The sequence below is a fragment of the Homo sapiens genome, chromosome 17, assembly GCF_000001405.40.
Source record: "Homo sapiens chromosome 17, GRCh38.p14 Primary Assembly".
NCBI classification, from domain to species: domain Eukaryota; kingdom Metazoa; phylum Chordata; class Mammalia; order Primates; family Hominidae; genus Homo; species Homo sapiens.
In genome coordinates, this window is record NC_000017.11 from 38055878 (window position 1) to 38074075 (window position 18198).

At 54.7% G+C, this 18198-nt stretch overlaps 1 protein-coding gene across 7 annotated transcripts; it reads right to left on the bottom strand.

Annotated features, from left to right (window-relative positions):
- Positions 1 to 1815: 1815 nt before the first annotated feature.
- TBC1D3C (TBC1 domain family member 3C) lies at positions 1816 to 14424 on the bottom strand. Of its 7 annotated transcripts, none has more exons than NM_001001418.6 (14): positions 12619 to 12757; positions 11118 to 11190; positions 10870 to 10955; positions 9547 to 9586; positions 8984 to 9064; positions 8433 to 8540; positions 7994 to 8103; positions 6690 to 6738; positions 6026 to 6146; positions 5218 to 5312; positions 4767 to 4832; positions 4204 to 4303; positions 3681 to 3833; positions 1816 to 2699 (listed from the first exon to the last, which is right to left on the bottom strand). In NM_001001418.6, the coding sequence occupies exons 2-14, from the start codon at positions 11187 to 11189 to the stop codon at positions 2131 to 2133; spliced, it is 1650 nt and encodes a 549-aa protein (NP_001001418.5). In that variant the 5' UTR covers position 11190; positions 12619 to 12757; the 3' UTR covers positions 1816 to 2130. The 7 variants fall into 7 exon arrangements, with proteins under 7 accessions (NP_001001418.5, XP_011523116.1, XP_047292038.1 ...); XM_011524814.3 differs by having other exon boundaries at positions 9547 to 9769; XM_047436082.1 differs by having other exon boundaries at positions 11118 to 14424.
- Positions 14425 to 18198: the final 3774 nt, after the last annotated feature.

The window sequence follows — 18198 nt, forward strand, 5'->3', positions numbered from 1 at the left end:
CGGGAAGCTCAGCCTATACTTCTACACGCAGAGAACCTGGACGGCACCCAGGTGGACCTAAGCCTTCAGCTCCCAGTAGACGCTCTGGGTTTCCTACCCTGCCCAGACACTCTGGGCTTCCCCCCACACCTCCCCTCGGCCGGGGCTCCTGTGTGCATCTGTCTCTCCCAGTGCCCAGCACAGGCGTGGAACGGAAGAGGTGAATGGACCGATTTGAACACATCATCCTGGATTCTCCGTTCCCTCTCAAGCCCTGCAGCTAACCCATCGGCAAGCCCTGGAGGCTCTGCCTCCAAAATCCTGCCTATCCCATGTGCAAACGCCTCTCACCACGTCCACTGCTATTTGCAGTTCTGTGTGTGTGGAAATACTTCCACAAATTTGGAATGAACAGGTCACGGCTGTGCCTGGAGGGAATGGCCAGGGAAATGTGCCCTCGCCTTGCTGTTCTATCCAGGCCCACCCAGCTGAGGATGGGGGACCTGCCACCACTCTCCTGGCAGTTCCGGACTCCTGGGAACCGGCAGGTGAGGACCCAAGAGTGTTTTCAGTGACCCGGCTGACCTGGTCATCCGTCAGTCCCACCTTGGCCTAGGCCTCTATACAGCACAGATCACAGCTCATTCCATCCTGGCATTACACTGGCCTGTGCCCTGTCCTCAGGGTCACATCCGTCTCCCAGAAGCCGTGCAACCCTGGAAAACCCAGGTCTAACAGTCAGGTTCCTCCTCCGTGCATTAACAATGGCGTTGACGCCTGCTTTGCGGCACGCTGGGAGGGGAGAGGGAGGTGTATGCTGGAGAGCTCCCCAGGGGCAAGGCCTGGCTCTGCGTCACCCACTGTCAGATCCTGAGAGCCTGGGGCTGGCCCAGCACGTGGCCACCGTTCCCTAAGAGTTGGATTTCATCCCTCAGTGCTGAAGGCAGGGGATAGAGCTTAGACAGACCCCCTGCGTCCTGTCTTCTTTATCTACAGCTTTCTCATCCTTGCCCCTTTCACGTGCACCCGGCAGAGCAGGTGTTCACTGAGCTTGAGCAAAATTCAAGCTAGAGCAGCTGATGGATCTTGAGGCCTAGATTCACTGTCAAAGTGTTTCTCAAACGGTGCTCTCCAGAACACCAAGGAAAACTCATTGACTGTGTAAGTCTGAAAATCCCTGCCCACCGGTCTACCTTTGTGTATGAGCGATCAGCTCTACCATTCAGCCCAGGTGTGTGTTTGCTGGACCATGTGGAGGAAGCTGAAGAGACGTGAGCTGAAGGCAGAGGGTGAGTCCAAGGTGGGATCTTGGGACAGGTACGAGAAGTTAGGCAAAAATGGGATAATTCTAGCCTTCATAACCTTAGATAATAGTTCACATTATTATTTAGTTAATAGAACTGTACCCACATTAAATTTCTTAAATTTTTTTAAGAGATAAAGTCTCACTCTGTCACCCAGGCTGGAGTGCAGTGGTGCAATCATGGCTCACTGCTTCCTGGAACTCGTGGGCTCCAGCAATCCTCCTGCCTCAGCCTCCTGACTAGGTGGGACTATAGGCACACGCCACCATGCCTGGCTAATTTCTTTGACTTTTCTCTAGAGACCGGGTCCACCTAGGTTTCCCAGGCTGGTCTCAGACTTCTAGACTCAAGTGAACCTGAACCTCCCGCCTCGACCTCTCAAATTGCTGGGATTACAGGTGTGAGCCACCACACCCGGCCTAAATTTCTTATGTGCCATGGGACTGCAAAACATCATTATTAGGGGCAGCTGGATGGAAGGTATAGGAGGATACTATAGTGCCTTTTCAATATTTCTGTCTAAAATCTAAAATCATTTCAACAGGAAACATTTATTTCAAAACATGAAGGTGGTTATCCTTCCATGAGTTTGAAGTACAAAGGTAGGCTCACGGTGTCGTCAGAATTCAGAACGATGGTCGTGGGGCTGGGGGTGCTGGGAGGGGCTGGGCATGGTTGGCTTTGTGATCTGGGGTCTGGTGTGTTCCATCTCTGAATCTCTCTCGAGCTGCACTCTTTCTTAATACATTTTCATAAGTTTAACCAAAAATAAAACGAGGATGCGAAGCTTGCTTGGGTTGTTAAGCCTAGGGAAATTATCCAGCCATGAGCCCTGGCCCAGATGCTTCTAGAAGCCTGGAGGGAACTGAGAACTTTCCAAGTGGAGGCCGCAGAGGCAAGGCCCTGAGGTGGGAGCACACTGCTGTTCGTCCCTAGCTCTGAAGGGGGTGCCCTGGTCGGAATCAGTGCTGGGTGCAGCGAAAGCCGATCTCACCCGCTCCGCAGGGTGTTCAGCCTGCCAGCAGGGGGCCAGCTGGTCCTCCTGGGATATGGCACGGACCCAGCAGCTCTGTCTGAAATCATAATGGCGGAACCAAGGGCCCTCTACGTCCAGGTCCGTTGGGAGGCGGGGCATGGAGTTCCACTGCAGGAATCTCCAGGAACCCTGAGGTCCTCCCTGAGCCAGGGCCGGGCTGGGCACACCCTGAGTGCCCACAGGGTAGGTGTCTTCCCGGACAGCCCCACCAGGACAGGGTGTGGAAGAACGAGGTGCCCGTGGCGGGGAAGCTGACCAAATGGGCCGCGGGAACCGGGCTGGTGGGCCTGGAGGGGCCTGCCTGTCCCCCTTGCAGAGGGTCTTCCCGCCACGTGAAGCCGGCACAGGCCTGGATGCCGACGACCCTTGCTCGGGTTTGGCTGAAAGGAAAACAGACGCGGTCAGCATCTCCAGTGAGCCCACGCAGGCCTTTCCGGGCTGGGCCCCACCTGCCTGCGTCTCTGGAGTCCTCGGGGTCTCTGTGTGGCCCCCGTGGCCTGACACCGAGGACACGCCTGTAGTCTGCTGATCCCAGAGGGAGGGGTGCGTGCTGCCTGGCGTGGGGAAGCTGTCGTGGCATGGCGGGTGGCTCCTGGGACTGCCCCCAGGGTTCAGACTGGCTGGGGGCTTCCTGCCACACACCTTCGTCCCAGGGCTGTTGGGCCTGGGATACGGCCCCCAGTCAGAACTCAGGTGGGAGGGGCCTTGGATGTCACCCAGCCCCTTGTCACCTCACGTGGGGACCCGTCTCCGCAGTGGGTGATTGGGCCCGGACGTGGGTCACCCTCTGCCCTCCTGGGCTGCCCAGTCCATGCCAGGACTGACCGTTCCCACTTCTGGCTGAACTCTTGGCTCTGGCTCTGGGCCCGGGGTCCCGCCTGTGCCCTCTCCCTGAATGCTCTGTGGGTCAGGGACACGGATTCCCTTGTCTCCCTGGCTCCAGGCTTCTTGTCCTGGCAACCTTGGAGGAGCGTGCAGGAGTGAGGGGCCTCTGCTGCTCTCTGAGGCTGTGGGTGCTTGCAGGGAGGGGCGGGGTCTCCCACAAATGGGTCTGGGCTCGTCTAGTAACTTGGAGGGCCCTGCGAGGGGGAGAGGGAGACACCGTGGAAAGTGGGAGGGGGCTTGTTGGAGGGTCTTGCCCACATCCCCCTCCTGCGTGCACAGCATGTCCAGTATACACGCACTGAGCGCCTGCCCTGAGGACCGGTGGGCCTCCTGTACTTTCTTAGAGTCCAGGAGGAAGAGGAGGAAGAAAAGGTGAAGAGGAAGGCCCAGGTAGTAGGGTTGCGGGTCCCGGGCACTCCCCTACTACTGACTACCCCAGAGGGTGACATGGGAGGGGACATGGCACTGGAGCCCACCTGGGGGTGGCAGGTCCCCCTTCTTTCTTGTTAGTTTCTTCATAGAGGCCCTAAGATGCTTGAGCACAGTGTCCTCATCCCTGGCCCAGGTATCAACGAACCGGTTGCAAAAACGTGCCCACGGGCCACACCTGGACGTCTTCGTGAGGCGCTCTAGGGACAGGGTGGATATCAGGCCAGGGGAGTTACCTGGGAATGGTCACAGCTCATACCCCGTGGCCACTTCAGTCTCCTACTGGGCGGTGCCGGATCCTTTTGTGGCCACCCCAGGTGTCCAGATACACACAGGAGACTGTGGCTGGGGGGCGATCCGGACAGGGAAGTGCTCACCACACTCTCGACTTTCATCTGGGTCATGTGGGGGATGGGCTCGGTGTCACAGTGTCCTGCCCAGCCCACCTGGCCAGACCTCCCTCTGGGCCAGAACAGAGGATCATGAGGACAGTGTGAGGAAGCTGCCCTCGGGCCAGTCGGGGTCTGACCCCAGGGCTCCCCAGGCCCCGCTGGGCACACGTAGACTTACTCTGCTGAACCTTAAAGGCGATTCTTGTTATCGGCATCAACGCCTGTTCGCCTTCTACCAGATACACGTCCCACAGGCGCAGGGTGAGCCCGAGAGAGATCTGTGGGGACAGCAGGTGTGAAAGAACCTGGTCCTTCCAGGCTGGGGCTGGTGGCTCGAGCTGCGCACACTGGGGCTTCAGTCTCCAGAGTCAGTGACCTTCCCCATGAGGGTCGCCTGAGCCCTCCAGGACGCTGGGTCAGACAAGGTCTTGAAGCTCCTCATGGGGGGCACTCATTTGAGTGGGGATGTGGCTCCTGGAGAGAGGGGCTTGCCCAGGGCTTGAGGCTTCCCTGAGCCCTCTCAAGTCGGGTCCTGGCCCAGTCTGCCCATGAGGCTGGGCCTGAGCCCCAGCCATGGCCCTGGGATGACCCCCCTTGGGCAGAGGGTTTTGCTCGTGTGTCCTTTGGGGACCCGCCTGAGCCTCCTGTGGGCTGGGAGTGAGCCAGACCCCCGGGCTGGGGAAGCAGGGCACTGCAGGGCAAGGAAGGTCCCTGAGCCAGGGTCTCCCTATGCCTCCTTACCCCGTCAATCAATATCCGGATGAGGCAGCCTAACGGGGAACACTGCCCACATAGATCTTTCTTGTCCTGATGGAAGCAACAGAGGTGCTCAGGCCACTGGGCTGCCCTAAAAACCTCCCTCTTCCAGGGCCTCTGAAGACCCTTCCCCTAGTGCAGAACACTGGGCGGTGTCCAGAGCTCCCCACAACACTGTCACCTTCCCACACTCCCGGTGGACACACTGCCCTTTGCCCTGCTCTGCGGGAGCTGGGCCCCCCATCCCTGTGCCTCTGTCTCCTCCAGGGCAGGAAAGGAAACCAACTCCCAGCCCATGGAGAACCCGACGTCCCAGGTCAGGCCCTGGCTGGGACTCAGCCAGTCACCAGCCCCACGAGGGGCTCCAGCCCCCCTGCTCCTACAGCCCCACGGGAGGCAGGGCCTCTGGGAAGAGCTGAGGGGACCATAAACTCACCTGATGCCCCATGGTCTTGGGTTGTGACGTGGCTACCACATGCTCCTGTTGGTCTTGGAGCCCCTGGACGGTCCCGCCATTTGGGCTGTGAAATCCTGAGAAGCCCCCAGCCCATCATGAAATCAGAGCCTTCCCCCAAGATGTGGAGCCATCAGCTGCAAGAGCTGGGCAGCTGGAGAGGCCCCCAAACCCCAAGGCCTCCCACCCTCCCGTCTGGTGACCCCAACATGCGGCCTTTACCCTGGGGAGGTGGGGCGGGAACATTCCCTGGAGCCTGGCTGGAGGTTCCCCTGGAGGCCTCCTGGGCCAGGGTGCAAAAAGGGCAAGCCTGACTTTCAGGCCACGACAGGGTGGCCGGAACTGGGTGGGCGCTGGGCTTCCCGGTCATCTCCTGGTAGTGGGGTCGGGCCAGGGAACAGGGGATGGGGAGATGCTGCCACCTGGGCTTGGTCGGCCCATTCGTGGGCACCGATGGCAGCAGGAGCCCGGGCAGCTGGAGGGCAGGAGGACTCTCAGGGAGGGGAGAGTCAGCTGCACAGAATCAGAGCCGGAGGGCGTGGCTCCAGGACACAGAGGGTGGCCACGGGGAGGATGAGATGCCCTCTGCTGATGGGGATGAGAGGCGTCTGATTTGGGCTTTGGGGGTCAGCCGTGGACTCCTGTGGGACCCTCAGCAGAGACATCCTAAAGTCTCCCAACAAGCTGGCGACACAAGGAGGGTGCCTTGGCTGAAAGCTGTGATCACCTGGCCAGGGTGGCCATCCCCAGGTCTGGCTGCAGGAGGTCCCCGGGGCAGCTGTTCACTTACCCTGCAGGGAGTGCCTCTCACTGGCCAGCAGCTGCACCAGTGCCCAGAATGCATCCTCCTCAGGAAGATAGAGGAGGAACAAGGCGGCGATGTGGCTCAGGTCCCTGCAGTAGCCCACCTCCTGCAAGAGCCAGAGTCACCATGGAAGGACATCACCTGGGAGGGCTGAGGTCACCTGGGAGGACTCATGTCATTGGAGAGGGCAGAGGTGACTGGAGAGGCTTCCTCTGAAGGAGAGGCTTCCTCTGAAAAAGAGGCTTCCTCAGGATGCACATTCATTTCATGACAAGAGCCAAGTCCATCAGGCACTTCAGCACCTTGTCCAAAATGTCTGCTGATAGCACCATCCTGTGTGCGATGCTGCCAAGCTCCTGGGCTTTGGGGCAGCCCCAGGAGGAGGGCGTCATTTCTTGTTCTGAGAAGTGGTGGTCAGGCCCAGGTGACACCAGGAGTCCAGGCCCTGACTCCTTTGTGTCTCAGCTTGACCCCTTGAGACCACCCCCTTCCTTGGAGGTTTATGCCAGCGGTGAGCTGACATCCTACCTCCTATATCCTGGTGGGTCACAAATACTAACTTTAAAAGAAGCAACGACACCCCCACCAGACACCCACTCCTGTCAATATGGAAATATGGCCCGGGAACCTCACTGCCGGGAATACTCACCGGGTTGTACTCCTCATATGCCAGGAGGATGTGGAGTAGTTCCCGCTGCCTAGGAAACAGAGAAAGGGGGCTTTGGTTTGTTTTGTGCAGATGTTGTTAATTTCACTTTGTCTACAAAGCCTAACAGCAAATCCCATTTCAGGTTCAGATGTTTCACCAGATAAGCAGTGAGCTCTTCAGGGCCTGAGACTCTTGAAGAAATGTTTCAGTAAAATCCACATCTGTGACATGCAAATAGCCCAGTTGTACAGTGACTTGCCTGATCCTTTTCACTCTGAATGATTTTTTTTTTTTTTTTTCAGTTTGCACACACGCCAGTTCAGTCTGTGGGTGTACAGTTCCTCCACGGTTCCAAACCGATGTGCAGAGTCTCCCGGCCACCGCTCCAGCCCCTCCTGGGGCGACTCCTTCATCCTCCAAGTCTCCAGGGTGGCCCCTATGCACCCAGCCTCTCCCCGATCCGTCAGCCCCTGGCCACCCAGACTGCTTCTCAGTCCCTGTGGTTTGGCCTTTTCCAGAATGGCCTAGGAATGGGAATCCTACTGTGGTAGCTTATTGGGTCTGGCTTCTGTCCCTCAGCAAAATGCATCTAGGATCCACCCACGTTCGTGCGGGCATCACCGGCTCGTTCCCTTTTCTCACTGGGTCTTCCGTTTGAAGGGAGGACCAGCCTTGCTCTCCCCATCCCCGTGTTGAAGGCCGTCCCCGAAGGCTCCGTGTGTGAGTGACGAGGAGTCAAGCAGTGAACCTGGCATGCTGGTTTCATGTGGATGTCAGTTTGCAAATCAGTGGGTTCAATATCTGTGACACTTTGGGGATGTGTGGTTCAAGTCCATCGAGCTTTGTGAGCCACTGCCCAACGGGCTGCCAACGTGGCTGTGCCATGTCATGTTCCCAGCGGACCTGGATGAGAGTTTCCAGGACCCCTAATTCTCCCAGCATTTGGTGCTGTCACTGTTGCCTGGGGGGGGCTCATGGGCCCTCTATCCTGCCACCCTCCCGTGGGTCCTACCATGGGTCCCCATGGGTCAGGGAGAGCACCCTTCACCATTGTGCATGATGTTGTTTGCTGCCTTCCATCTCCTCAGGATCCTCCTGGGTTCTGGCCCCACATGTTCCAGTCTGGCCCAGGGCTTGGAACCAGGGAGGTGCTCGGTTCATGGTGCCGGCTGCTCCCTGGGCCGGGAGAGCTCTTGGCAGCTGTGTCATCCCTCCTGGGTGACCCTGGCTTCTGCTCCGGGGAAGCCCCCATCCCTCTCATTCACCCCATCTCTGCTGGGACCCTGTGGCTCCCGTAGGCTTACTTGGTTCCGTATCGATCCCTGAAGAATATATGCTTCCTTAATGTCCCGCTTACGTCCCGGTCGATGCGCTGGATGTGCTCAGATGACCTCTTGCCCTTCTCCTTCATGATCTGTAGGGCAGGGCCAAGAGGAGGAAGCAGTCTCAGAACAGATGGAAGACTCCCTGCCCCCAGTGGCAGTCAGCCCACAGTCAGCACTTCGGGAAGGAAGGACAGAAGGAAGGTTTCCTTCTGCAGAAAGCTGCATTTTGGCTTGTTACTGAAGCCAGGGAGGGTCACCAGAGCTGAGTTTGTCTGTGGTGACTGTGTCACCATCTGTGCCCAGGGTGTTCATCTGACCTTCACCCCCAGCTCCCCAGGGTGGTCTTGACGTTCCCTCCAGCTGGAGACCTGGGCCCCGACACGGCCTGTCCTGTTTGTTGTGCTCTGGCTGAGCGTACCTGGTATCTTCCGGGGTTTTTCAACTTCATTTCCTCAGTGTTCAGGAGGACTGACCACATCGGGCCCCGGATGTTCATGGGCATTCCCTTGTACGCTCGATCTATGAGCTGTGGGCAGAAAACGATCTGGTGTCACAGGCCACGGGGTGACCCCAGTGAGGACCAGAGCCCGGGGATTCTGGAAATTGTCGGTTTTGGCCCCATGATTCCTCAGTAGAGGTGAGATCAAGCTGGGACAGGGTCTCCCTTCCCAGGACTGAAAGAGTGGATGGACACTCAGAGTCGAAACTCTGATCTGAACCTTTTCCTTCCTTCAGGTCACCAGGGCATCCCTAGCCTTGAGCTCCGGGTAGTCCCAGCCCTAGATTCAGATTCCCTCCCTGCAAGGTGACGCTTGCACGAATAGGCAGGAAATCTGGCGACCAGGCCTGCAGTCCTCTGGGCGAGGACAGTGTGCCGCCCACCCTCTGAGAGGCTGATGGTGCCAGGCCACAGCCATGGGTGCCTGTCCCCTGTCTCTGCAGAGAGTGCTTCCTCCCTCCACACGTTACCTTTCTGCTGCTTTTGTATTTCTCCCAGTCTCCCAGCATATCCACCCACTTGCTCTTTCGGCTGATCTCCCGCCGAATTTGCTGTCAAATGAGGCATGTTGGAGTTAGCGGAGCTGCCAGGCTTCCCAGAGCCGCCCGCGGATGCTGGGTCTTGGGCTCTGGAGCCCTGGTGGGAGCCAGCTGGAAGGAGCCAGGGAAGGGCAGACCTCAAGGGCTGAGAGCCTTTGAGCAAATGAGCACCAGTGGGCTGGCTTTGGGACCCCGGGATGTACCATCCTCAGGCCACAGACACACCAGTCTTAGGTCCCAGCCTCTAGGTGGGGTCCTGACACAAGCGCGCAGCCACCCCCAAGCCAGGACTGTGGTTCTCCTTTTGGAATTTTATCAAACTGCCAAAGTGAACAGCAACCTGGGGTCAGGTCCAGCAGGGACTGCTGCCCCTCCCAGTGACAGCGTGTTGCCCTCACCCGCCACCGCTCAGGCCAGCTGCTTCCTCTGCCTCACTGACCACCCGCCCAGTCCCTACGTCCCTGGACCAGCCCCTCCACGCATCAGGCTCTTACCTTCGCCTCCCGCGCAGTCAGAGGAGGCAGCTCCGTCTCACTGTAAGGCAACCCAGGCAGAGCTGAGGAACTGCACGGGGCCTGGAGCGGCCCCAGCCTGGGTGCCGACCCCCAGAAAGGACTGGCTCTGTCCCTTTCCAGCTCAGGGCTCAGCCCAGGAGAAGGCACAGGGAAGGGAGGACAAGGGCCTTCCTGTGGGGCTGACTCCCAGGAGGGGCAGGACCTGGGAGAAGAAGGAGTGTAGGGACAGCCTGGCCGGGGTTACTGGGGCCCCTGGCGTGGGGGGCGGTCAGGCTGCCCAATGGGGCTGCCCGTCCTGGACTCGAGGTGGTGCTTTCTGCTGGAGCTGAGAAAGGTTAGCCCTGAGATGGGATGGGGGCCGCCCAGGGTGGGCGACCGGGCCCTGACAGGAGTCCCTCAGGGAGTGACCACATCCCCCCGCCAGGGTCAAGGGAGCCTGCCCTGAGACCTGCCCGGTGTACTCTGGCTGCACCAGGGGCCCACCCCACTTGACAGCCCCAAGGCCCTTGCAGGTTCTGACCTCCCAGCATCCACCTGCCTCTCCCTGCACCCGAGCCACACACCCTGCGTTTCAGAAGTGGCACGGCTCGTCAGCTCCCTCCCGCCCTACCTCCCCAGGGATCCTCTGTCTCTCCATCCTGTGATCCCTGAGGGATGGGCTCCTGGCTGGGCTCCTCTTACCCGGCCCCAGATCCCTTCCCAGCACCAGACCCAGGTCTTTAGCCGCGAGCCCTGCTGCCTCCCTGGCCTCACCGTGAGATGCCCAGAACGGGGCCCTGCCCATCTTCTCCCCCGTTCTCCTAGGGCTACAGCCCCCATTGTCACCATGCCTTTTCCCCTCACGGGACAGTGAGGGCTGTAGCTCTAGGGGAATGGGGGAGAACAGGGGCAGGTGGGCCCTCAGAGACCTGCTGGACAACAGCCCTGAGGCTGGGCCAGGCGTCTCCTCACCCTGTGGCCATAACCCTTGCATCTCACCGGGGTTGTCTCCAAGTAGACAGGGCCAGACCCTCAGGCTGCCCCGCTCCTCTTGTGCTCACTTGCCGACAGAACTGCTGAGCGCCCAGGGGCCTGACCTAGCCCAGTCTCCATTCCCACCGGCTCCCTAGATGGGCCCCACACCTCTGGCCTAACAACCTCGGGCTGGACCTGCAGGGGAGTCAGGGAGGAGTTCTGTCCCTGGAAAGGAGGTTGACCCGACCTGGTGAGACATGTCCTGCGTCAGAAAGGCCTTTCTAAAAGCAAACCCATCCCTGAGCTGAGACAGGTGCTTTAGGGGTGAGGGGAGTGCAGAGGACTCACTGTACAATCCCCAAATGATCGACGTTGTTGTTGTAGCTTCGAAAAGGCTTAGGCCCCTTGTCCTCTGGCAGCCCAGCTCGGTGTCCCTGTAGCCCAGAGGGAGCCTTGGTGAGGGGTCCAAGGTAAAGGGTGCAAGGGCCTGGGGGCATTGGCCACCCGTCCCTGCCCTGTGCTCCTAGGGAGCCCAGGACCCTTTGACCAGGGCACACTGGAAGAGGCCTCCCTCCAAGAAGCAGACCGACTTGTACCTTTTCGTATTTCATAATGATGTCCTCTCGCTCTTGTGCCCACCAACTGCCCGCGACCTCTACCACGTCCATCCTGTGAGACAGAATTGTCTAAAGGTCACACCGTACGCGGCGGCTTCGGAGAACACCTGAACCGCTCTCGCCGGGCTCCCAGATGCTGGCTGGCTGCGTAACCCCCATTCCACCGCCGCCCCCAGGGAAAAAGGGGCCAGACCCAGTGGCCCACAGCTGCTCCAGTCTCTGGAGTCTCAAGTCCCAAGCAGGGGTGGGCATCTTCCCAAGGACTTGAGTACAGTGGGACCTAGACAGAGAATCCTGTTGTCCCCCAATGCCATGAAATGGGGACACACCGGCCCCAGCAGGTTGAATGGTTTCCACCTGCCAAGGGTGAAGGGCCCATGATGGGCTATTCCAGGGATGTGGAGGCAGACTGGGGTCAGCGACCAGAGGTCTCTGTGCAATCGGCCTCCTGGGATGCTCAGGGCCTCAGCGATGCCCAGTTTCCTACAGGGAACAAGATCTCTCCCGACTGCTCGGTTCTACTCCGCTCATCACTTTGGCTACCGTGGCTCTTCAGTCTGAACAGTGAAGCCACTTTAGGAATAACGCCTGTTGAGCAGGAGGGTGTTGGGTTTGGGGGATGAGAAAGATCTATTGTACGCATGGAAACCACGTCTCTCGCGGAGGGACTGTGGAGTCCACCATTCTGAGCCGTCCCAACAGGAGGAGGCTTCATTTTCCTGGGTCACTGAGGAAGAACAGTGGGTCCTTGGTCCTGGAGAACAGCTGGATGGACCGTCCCTCCTGGGAATACTCGAGGCAAAAGGAGGGCGAGGCCTCAAGAGGACCACGCAGAGCAAGAAATACCTGGGGAGAACCCTAGTGCCCGGACCCCTTTGAACACAAGGGAAGATAGTCTCCCCTCAGCCAGCCCTCCAGGGCTCCTTCATTTTCCACAGCTGCCCAAGGGCAGCAGGCTCCCCCGGACAAGGGACCATGTGTGTTCAGTGGGGCCCACAGCGACCATCAGGACCCAGCTTAGGGCACAGAGGTGTTCTGAGGACCGTCAGTGGATCTGTACCAGTGGCTCTATACCAGTGGCTCTGCCAGGACCAGGCTCTGCCCCATCGGGATGGGAAACCTGGGCAGATTTGGGATCTAGGGCAGGGAGGTCACAGGGTTCAGGCCTGAATTCCAGCACAGCACACGGCAGGGCTGAGAGCAAAACTCAGGGTCATGTCCGGATTCCCAGGCCGGTTACTGCCTCTCTGACCCCAGACGTCTCATCTGTCGAATGGGGACATTTGGGAACAGCACCCACTCTACGAAGCCACCATGGAGACGAAAGAGCCAATCGTCTACACGGGCAGTGTAGAACGGGCGCCTGGTGAGTGCTCAGGGATGACCCTCCTCGGTAGCTGCCCCACAGAGGCCAACACCGCCCGCACCGTAGCCACTGCCCCCAAGTCCGCCTGGAGGGAAGAGAGCAGGTCACGCTCACCTGATTCTGATGAATCAGCTGGCCTGGGTCGTGCCTCTCAGGGAGAAAACCTTTGAGTCCACAGAGCTGCTCACAGATACCACTGCCTGTGTGTAACTGCTGTAGACCACTGAGGCAGACCAGAGAGCAGATAGGTGCTAAGCACCAGTGACATTCTGAGGTCATGGCACGAATCACAGTGGGGCCTTGCCCGGGTCAGCAGCGCCCAGAGTCAGGGTCCTCCGCTGCCTGAGGCGTCAACATGCCTGCCTGCAATGTGTTTGTGCACGTGCGTGCACATGTGTATGTGGGTAAACACATCTGTGCACGTGTGTGCTGCTTCTCTGGCCAGGCCCGGCTGCCCCACTCATGTGTGCACCCAGTTCCTCATCACTGTCACCCCCGAGGCCCAGGGCCAGCATCAGAGCATCCATGGCTGCTCCCTAACCTCAGCCCTCCCCGCCCAGGGTGGTCCTGGGATACACATAGCGGTGGAGGGAAGTGACTGCTGCTGTTGGATCTCAGAATACAAAAGCTAGTACTATTACCTAATGGTCTTTTTAGTGTCTCTAATGGTATCGCTTTTTCATTTCTGATATTTTAACTGGGTATTTCTCTCCATGACCCTTGGATATTCTAGCTAGAGGATCCTGTGGGGAAAGTGCCGGGCACACAGTAGGGGCTCACTCTTCTAGACATGTTATCTAAAACCTGGTTCATCTGTCCTTCCACACAGGGCCTAGGGGATGCCAAATTCCAGGGGCCAGAAAGAGCTTGGGATAAAAAGAAACTTCAAGGGGACGGCTTTGACCTGGGCTGAGTCTGCCTGTGCCATCCAACTGGAGTCTCAAGTCCTGAGGCAGGACGTCCAGATGCCCCAGTGCAGGGTCCTCCTGATCAACACCTGCTCCCCTGTACTCATTAGCAACCTCACCCACCCTACTCTCAAAGCACACTTGGCTCTCGTATCCAGGAGCTCTGCATCTGTAGATTCAGCAACAGCAGATGGAAAATATTCAGAAAATAAATTGGACGGTTATGTTTCTATTGAACATGTGCAGAGTTTGTTCTTGTCATTATTCCCTAAAGAATCCAGTATCACGACCATTTATGTAGCATCTGCATTGTATTACACATCATGAATAATCCAGAGATGGTCTAATGTCTACGGGAGGATGTGCATAGCTGATATGTAAATACTAGGCCATGTTATGTCAGAGACTTGAGGATCCATGGATTTTGGCATCCCCGGGGACCCTAGAACTAATCCATGGATACCAAGGGATGACTGTATAAACTCACTCAGGAAGGCTTCTCATTGGAGGAAGGTCCCAGTTCAGGACACACAGGGACATCTCCCTGGACTACTGTCCATTCATCCATCCATTCATCCATTGTCTCCCCCCACCCCCCCATCTCGGACTGTCCCAGTGACAGCCCTAGCAAGAAGAGACAAGAAACAAGTTCACGTTGTCCAGTTTTGAGGTAATGGAAGAAGTTGCACCAGTATGAGAATAGTGGGTCAGTTTTCTACAGGATGCAGAAAGCATATCGGGCAGCCTCGGGGTGCGGAAAGGAGCCTGGCCTCTCTAGCAGCCACACAGGCCTGCAGTAGGATGGGGCTGTGGCTGGCCATGTGGATCACTTGGGCCTCATGAGGGGAAAGGAAATACCAGGGGGGCAGAAGAGGAGCATGGGGGCAGCTGGTTGCCTAAGGAGAAGGCACCTCAGGGAAGGGGACTGTATTCATTTGTTTTCACACTGATGTAAAGAAATACCTGAGATTGGGTAATTTATAAAGGAAACAGGCTTAATTGACTTGCAGTTCCGGAAACTTACAATCATGGCAGAAGGGGAAGGGGAAGCAGGCACCTTCTTCACAAGATGGCAGGAGGGAGATTGTGCAGTGGCACAATCTCGGCTCACTGCAACCTCTGCCTCCCGGGTTCAGGCAGTTCTCCTGCCTCAGCCTCCCTAGTAGCTGGGATTACAGGCATGCACCACCACGCCTGGCTAATTTTGTATTTTTAGTAGAGACAGGGTTTCACCATGTTGGCCAGGCTGGTCTTGAACTCCTGACATCAGGTGATCTGCCTGCCTCCGCCTGCCAAAGTGCTGGGATTACAAGTGTGAGCCACCGCGCCAAGCCATATCTGTTCTTTTTTTTTTTTTTTTTTTTTGAGACAGAGTCTCACTCTGTTGCCTAGGCCAGGCTGGAGTGTGCAGTGGTGCGATCTCGGCTCACTGCAACCTCCACTTCCCTAGTTCAAGGGATTCTCCTGCCTCAGCCTCCCTAGTAGCTGGGATTACAGGTGCATGCCACCACACCTGGCTAATTTTTGTATTTCTGTAGAGACCAGGTTTCACCATGTTAGCTAGGCTGGTCTCAAACACCCGACCTCAGGTGATCCGCCCGCCTCTGCCTCCCAAAGTGCTGGGATTACAGGCATGACCCACCGCGCCTAGTCCATATCTGTTCTTTTTTTTTTTTTTTTTTTTTTTTGAGACAGAGTCTTGCTCTGTCGCCAAGGCCGGAGTGCAGTGGCGTGATCTCAGCTCACTGCAACCTCCGCCTCCCGGGTTTAAGCGATTCTCCTGCCTCATCCAAGTAGCTGGGACTACAGGCACCTGCCATCATGCCAGGCTAATTTTTGAATTTTTAGTAGAGAAGGGGTTTCACCATATTGGCCAGGCTGGTCTCGAACTCGTGACCTTGTGATCCACCCGCCTCGGCCTCCCAAAGTGCTGGGATTACAGGCCTGAGCCACCGCACCCGGCTAGCCTGTGTCTGTTCTTTAAAATTGTTTTGTTTTCCTTACTCTCAGATTCTTCTTGCTGCTTATTGTGCCTTGTTGCTGCCTGTTGTGCAATTTCTTCCCTCTTGTATTTTACTGAACTTCATCTGAAGAAGCCTTAGTAGCCAGATAAACAAGCTTGTTTGGGCTAAAAAATCAATTGCTGTGTGAGAGTTTGTTGGATTCTCTTCTGAGTAAAGGGTATGTGTTTTATTGTACGGACTTTGTATCACCTATTTTGGCTTTTCATCCAGGCCTTTTTTTTTTTTCTTTCTTTTTAGCTTCCTGGTTCTAGATACAACTGATACTCTGATACAACCTGGGTAAATGTGGTCTTGAGTAGTAAATTATCTGTGAAGCTTCTCCGAACTTTGCCACATAAATGAGCCTGCTCTTGTTGTGAAGTAAATCTTACTCTAATCTGTATGTGAGTCAGTGGGAAATAACTGAGCCTTCGGATGGCTTTTGTTGTTAACTGAGATTAGTTCTCTAGATTTTAGTGATTTTGTTTTGAACACCATACAAGTATGTGGTTCTTGGTTTATTTGGTCACTTGTAATCTCTTTAAAATTTTATTTTAAATTAGGAAGTATTTTAGAAATACAAGAAAGTCACACACTATGAGATTAAACAGATGTTAACATTTTGCCCCATTTTCATCAGACTGTGCATGCTTTTTTTGGGGGGGAATAAAATGTCACAGATACCACTAAAGCCCGTTTCCATCTCGTCCCACCCTGCCTCTAGAAGTAACTTCTTTCTTCAGGTAGGTGCGTATTATTCCTTTTTATTCCTACGTATAGTTTAAAACTTTAATTGCATATTAGTAGCCACAAACATCACATACCAATATTCTGTGCCTTTTGCATTTTTACATTAATGGTAATTATTTTTGACCTTCTGCAAATGGCTCTTTTCAGTGTTTCTTGTTAGAAAACTTGGCTCAACTTGAGTTTACTAATTATCTGCTTCTTCTTGTCTTTAGCTATTATAGAACTGTTCCACCAAGGCAACAATTATTGCTATTTTAATGGTGAAATCAGTTTTATTAGGCAAATTGACTCAGGCTTCAGACTGGCATTTGGAATTGTCACACTGGAGATTTTCTTTTACTGAAGTCTCAGGACATTGACAATCAGAAAAAAACCCTCTTGAGTCTTACTATCGTACATGTAAGATATGTTCCTGAGTGACTATAGTAAAGACTCATTCAGGAAAATGTTATCTCCGATTTCTGCCTCCCTAGCTCATAGGAAACTTCCATTGTAAAGTTGTTACCAGGCGTCAAGCTGCCTCTTTGGTACAGCCCTTACTTAGTATTTGGCTCAGTTGAAGTGCAGTCTATATAGGAGGCCAAGAAGACTTAATCCTGGGTTTGAAACAAAGCAAGGATACACTAACATTCTATCCTTTAATAACATCAAGTAGAAAAATTGAAAATGAGCTTGTTATCAGTGCACTTTTATATGCCAACCTTGTTTCACTTGTGTTTTAAACTGGGAAACTGAAGATTTTAATGCTGAAATTTCTTTGAATTATTACCTGTTTTTTTGATAGTGGAACACACAGCTAATATTTACTAATATGAAGGTGTCAAAGGTGAGAAATCATGTACTACACCATCAGGTCAGCACTACTGTTTGGAAGAGCAGCATCACAAAGAGCAGTGTTACACTGCGTTGTAGTCAGCACATACACTTATGTCCAGACAGATATTTTAAATTACCTTCTTGGGGTAGTACACATATGCTGATATCCAAAGTGCCATATAATACAATACATAGTTTTTAAACTTCATATCATTCTGATCAGAAGCTTTATAAACTGTTAGGTGAATGCTGTTAGATGATATGAGAGCACAATTTAACCTGTGTGTGTGTATATGTATGTCTTAACATCTATTAAGTGATGACTACATATGAGGCACTAAGTGCTAAAACAGAGACTTTACATAGATTATCCCATTATTGGTCAACTTTTTAAATAAGTGCATCTCTAATATAAGACAAGATGCTGACCAATTTTTAAAATGTGAATGGATTTCTATTTTTAAGATAAGTACCTTTGTTCCTTTGGTTCCTCCCTCCCACCCTTCCAGAAATGGTAGTATCCTGGAAAAAAAAAATTAGTAGCAATTCAAGAAACAGCTTAATTCATTAGTATAAATAGATGAGTTTCCCCTAAACACAGGAGGAGTTGGAAGGTACTTGAAATTGGATGTTGTGCATGGTGCCTTTCCAAAATGCACAAATACTTTCTCTCAAATGGTTGCAGTAGTAATGTGCTGTGTGATTTGGCATGTATAATGTTGTACAGGTATCTTGACATTGGTGGATTAACTGCTTGGCTACTGTGAAATTCACTGTAGATGTTGATGGATGAAAGTGTGGTTGCCTAGGTAATGATTAAGACCAGTAACTAAACCACAGTTATTATTTTGCTGGCATAAACTTCAAACTCAGAAAGGTTTTTATTCATTTTACCCATTGGAGCATACCCCAGTAAGTGCTTCATTTCTTTGTGTTTCTGATTTTTTTTTTTTTTAAGATGGAGTCTTGCTTTTGTCGCCCAGGTTGGAGTGCAATGGCGCGATTTCGGCTCACTGCAACCTCCACCTCCTGGGTTCAAGCGATTCTCCTGCCTCAGCCTCCCGAGTAGCTGGGATTACAGGTGCCTGCCACCACGCCCAGCTAATCTTTGTATTTTTAGTAGAGATGGGGTTTCACCATGTTAGCCAGGCTGGTCTCGAACCCCTGACCTCGTGATCCACCCACCTTGGCCTCCCAAAGTTCTGGGATTACAGGCA

Bases quoted from the DNA above. Each gene is read 5' to 3' on its own strand.
- TBC1D3C (XM_011524814.3), bottom strand. From the start codon at position 11,189: ATGGACGTGGTAGAGGTCGCGGGCAGTTGGTGGGCACAAGAGCGAGAG. The intron at 8,104-8,432 runs GTACGCTCAGCC...CCTGCCCTACAG, and splicing joins AAAACCCCGGAAGATACCAG to ATCATGAAGGAGAAGGGCAA. The intron at 6,147-6,689 runs GTGAGTATTCCC...TGGCTCTTGCAG, and splicing joins CATATGAGGAGTACAACCCG to GAGGTGGGCTACTGCAGGGA.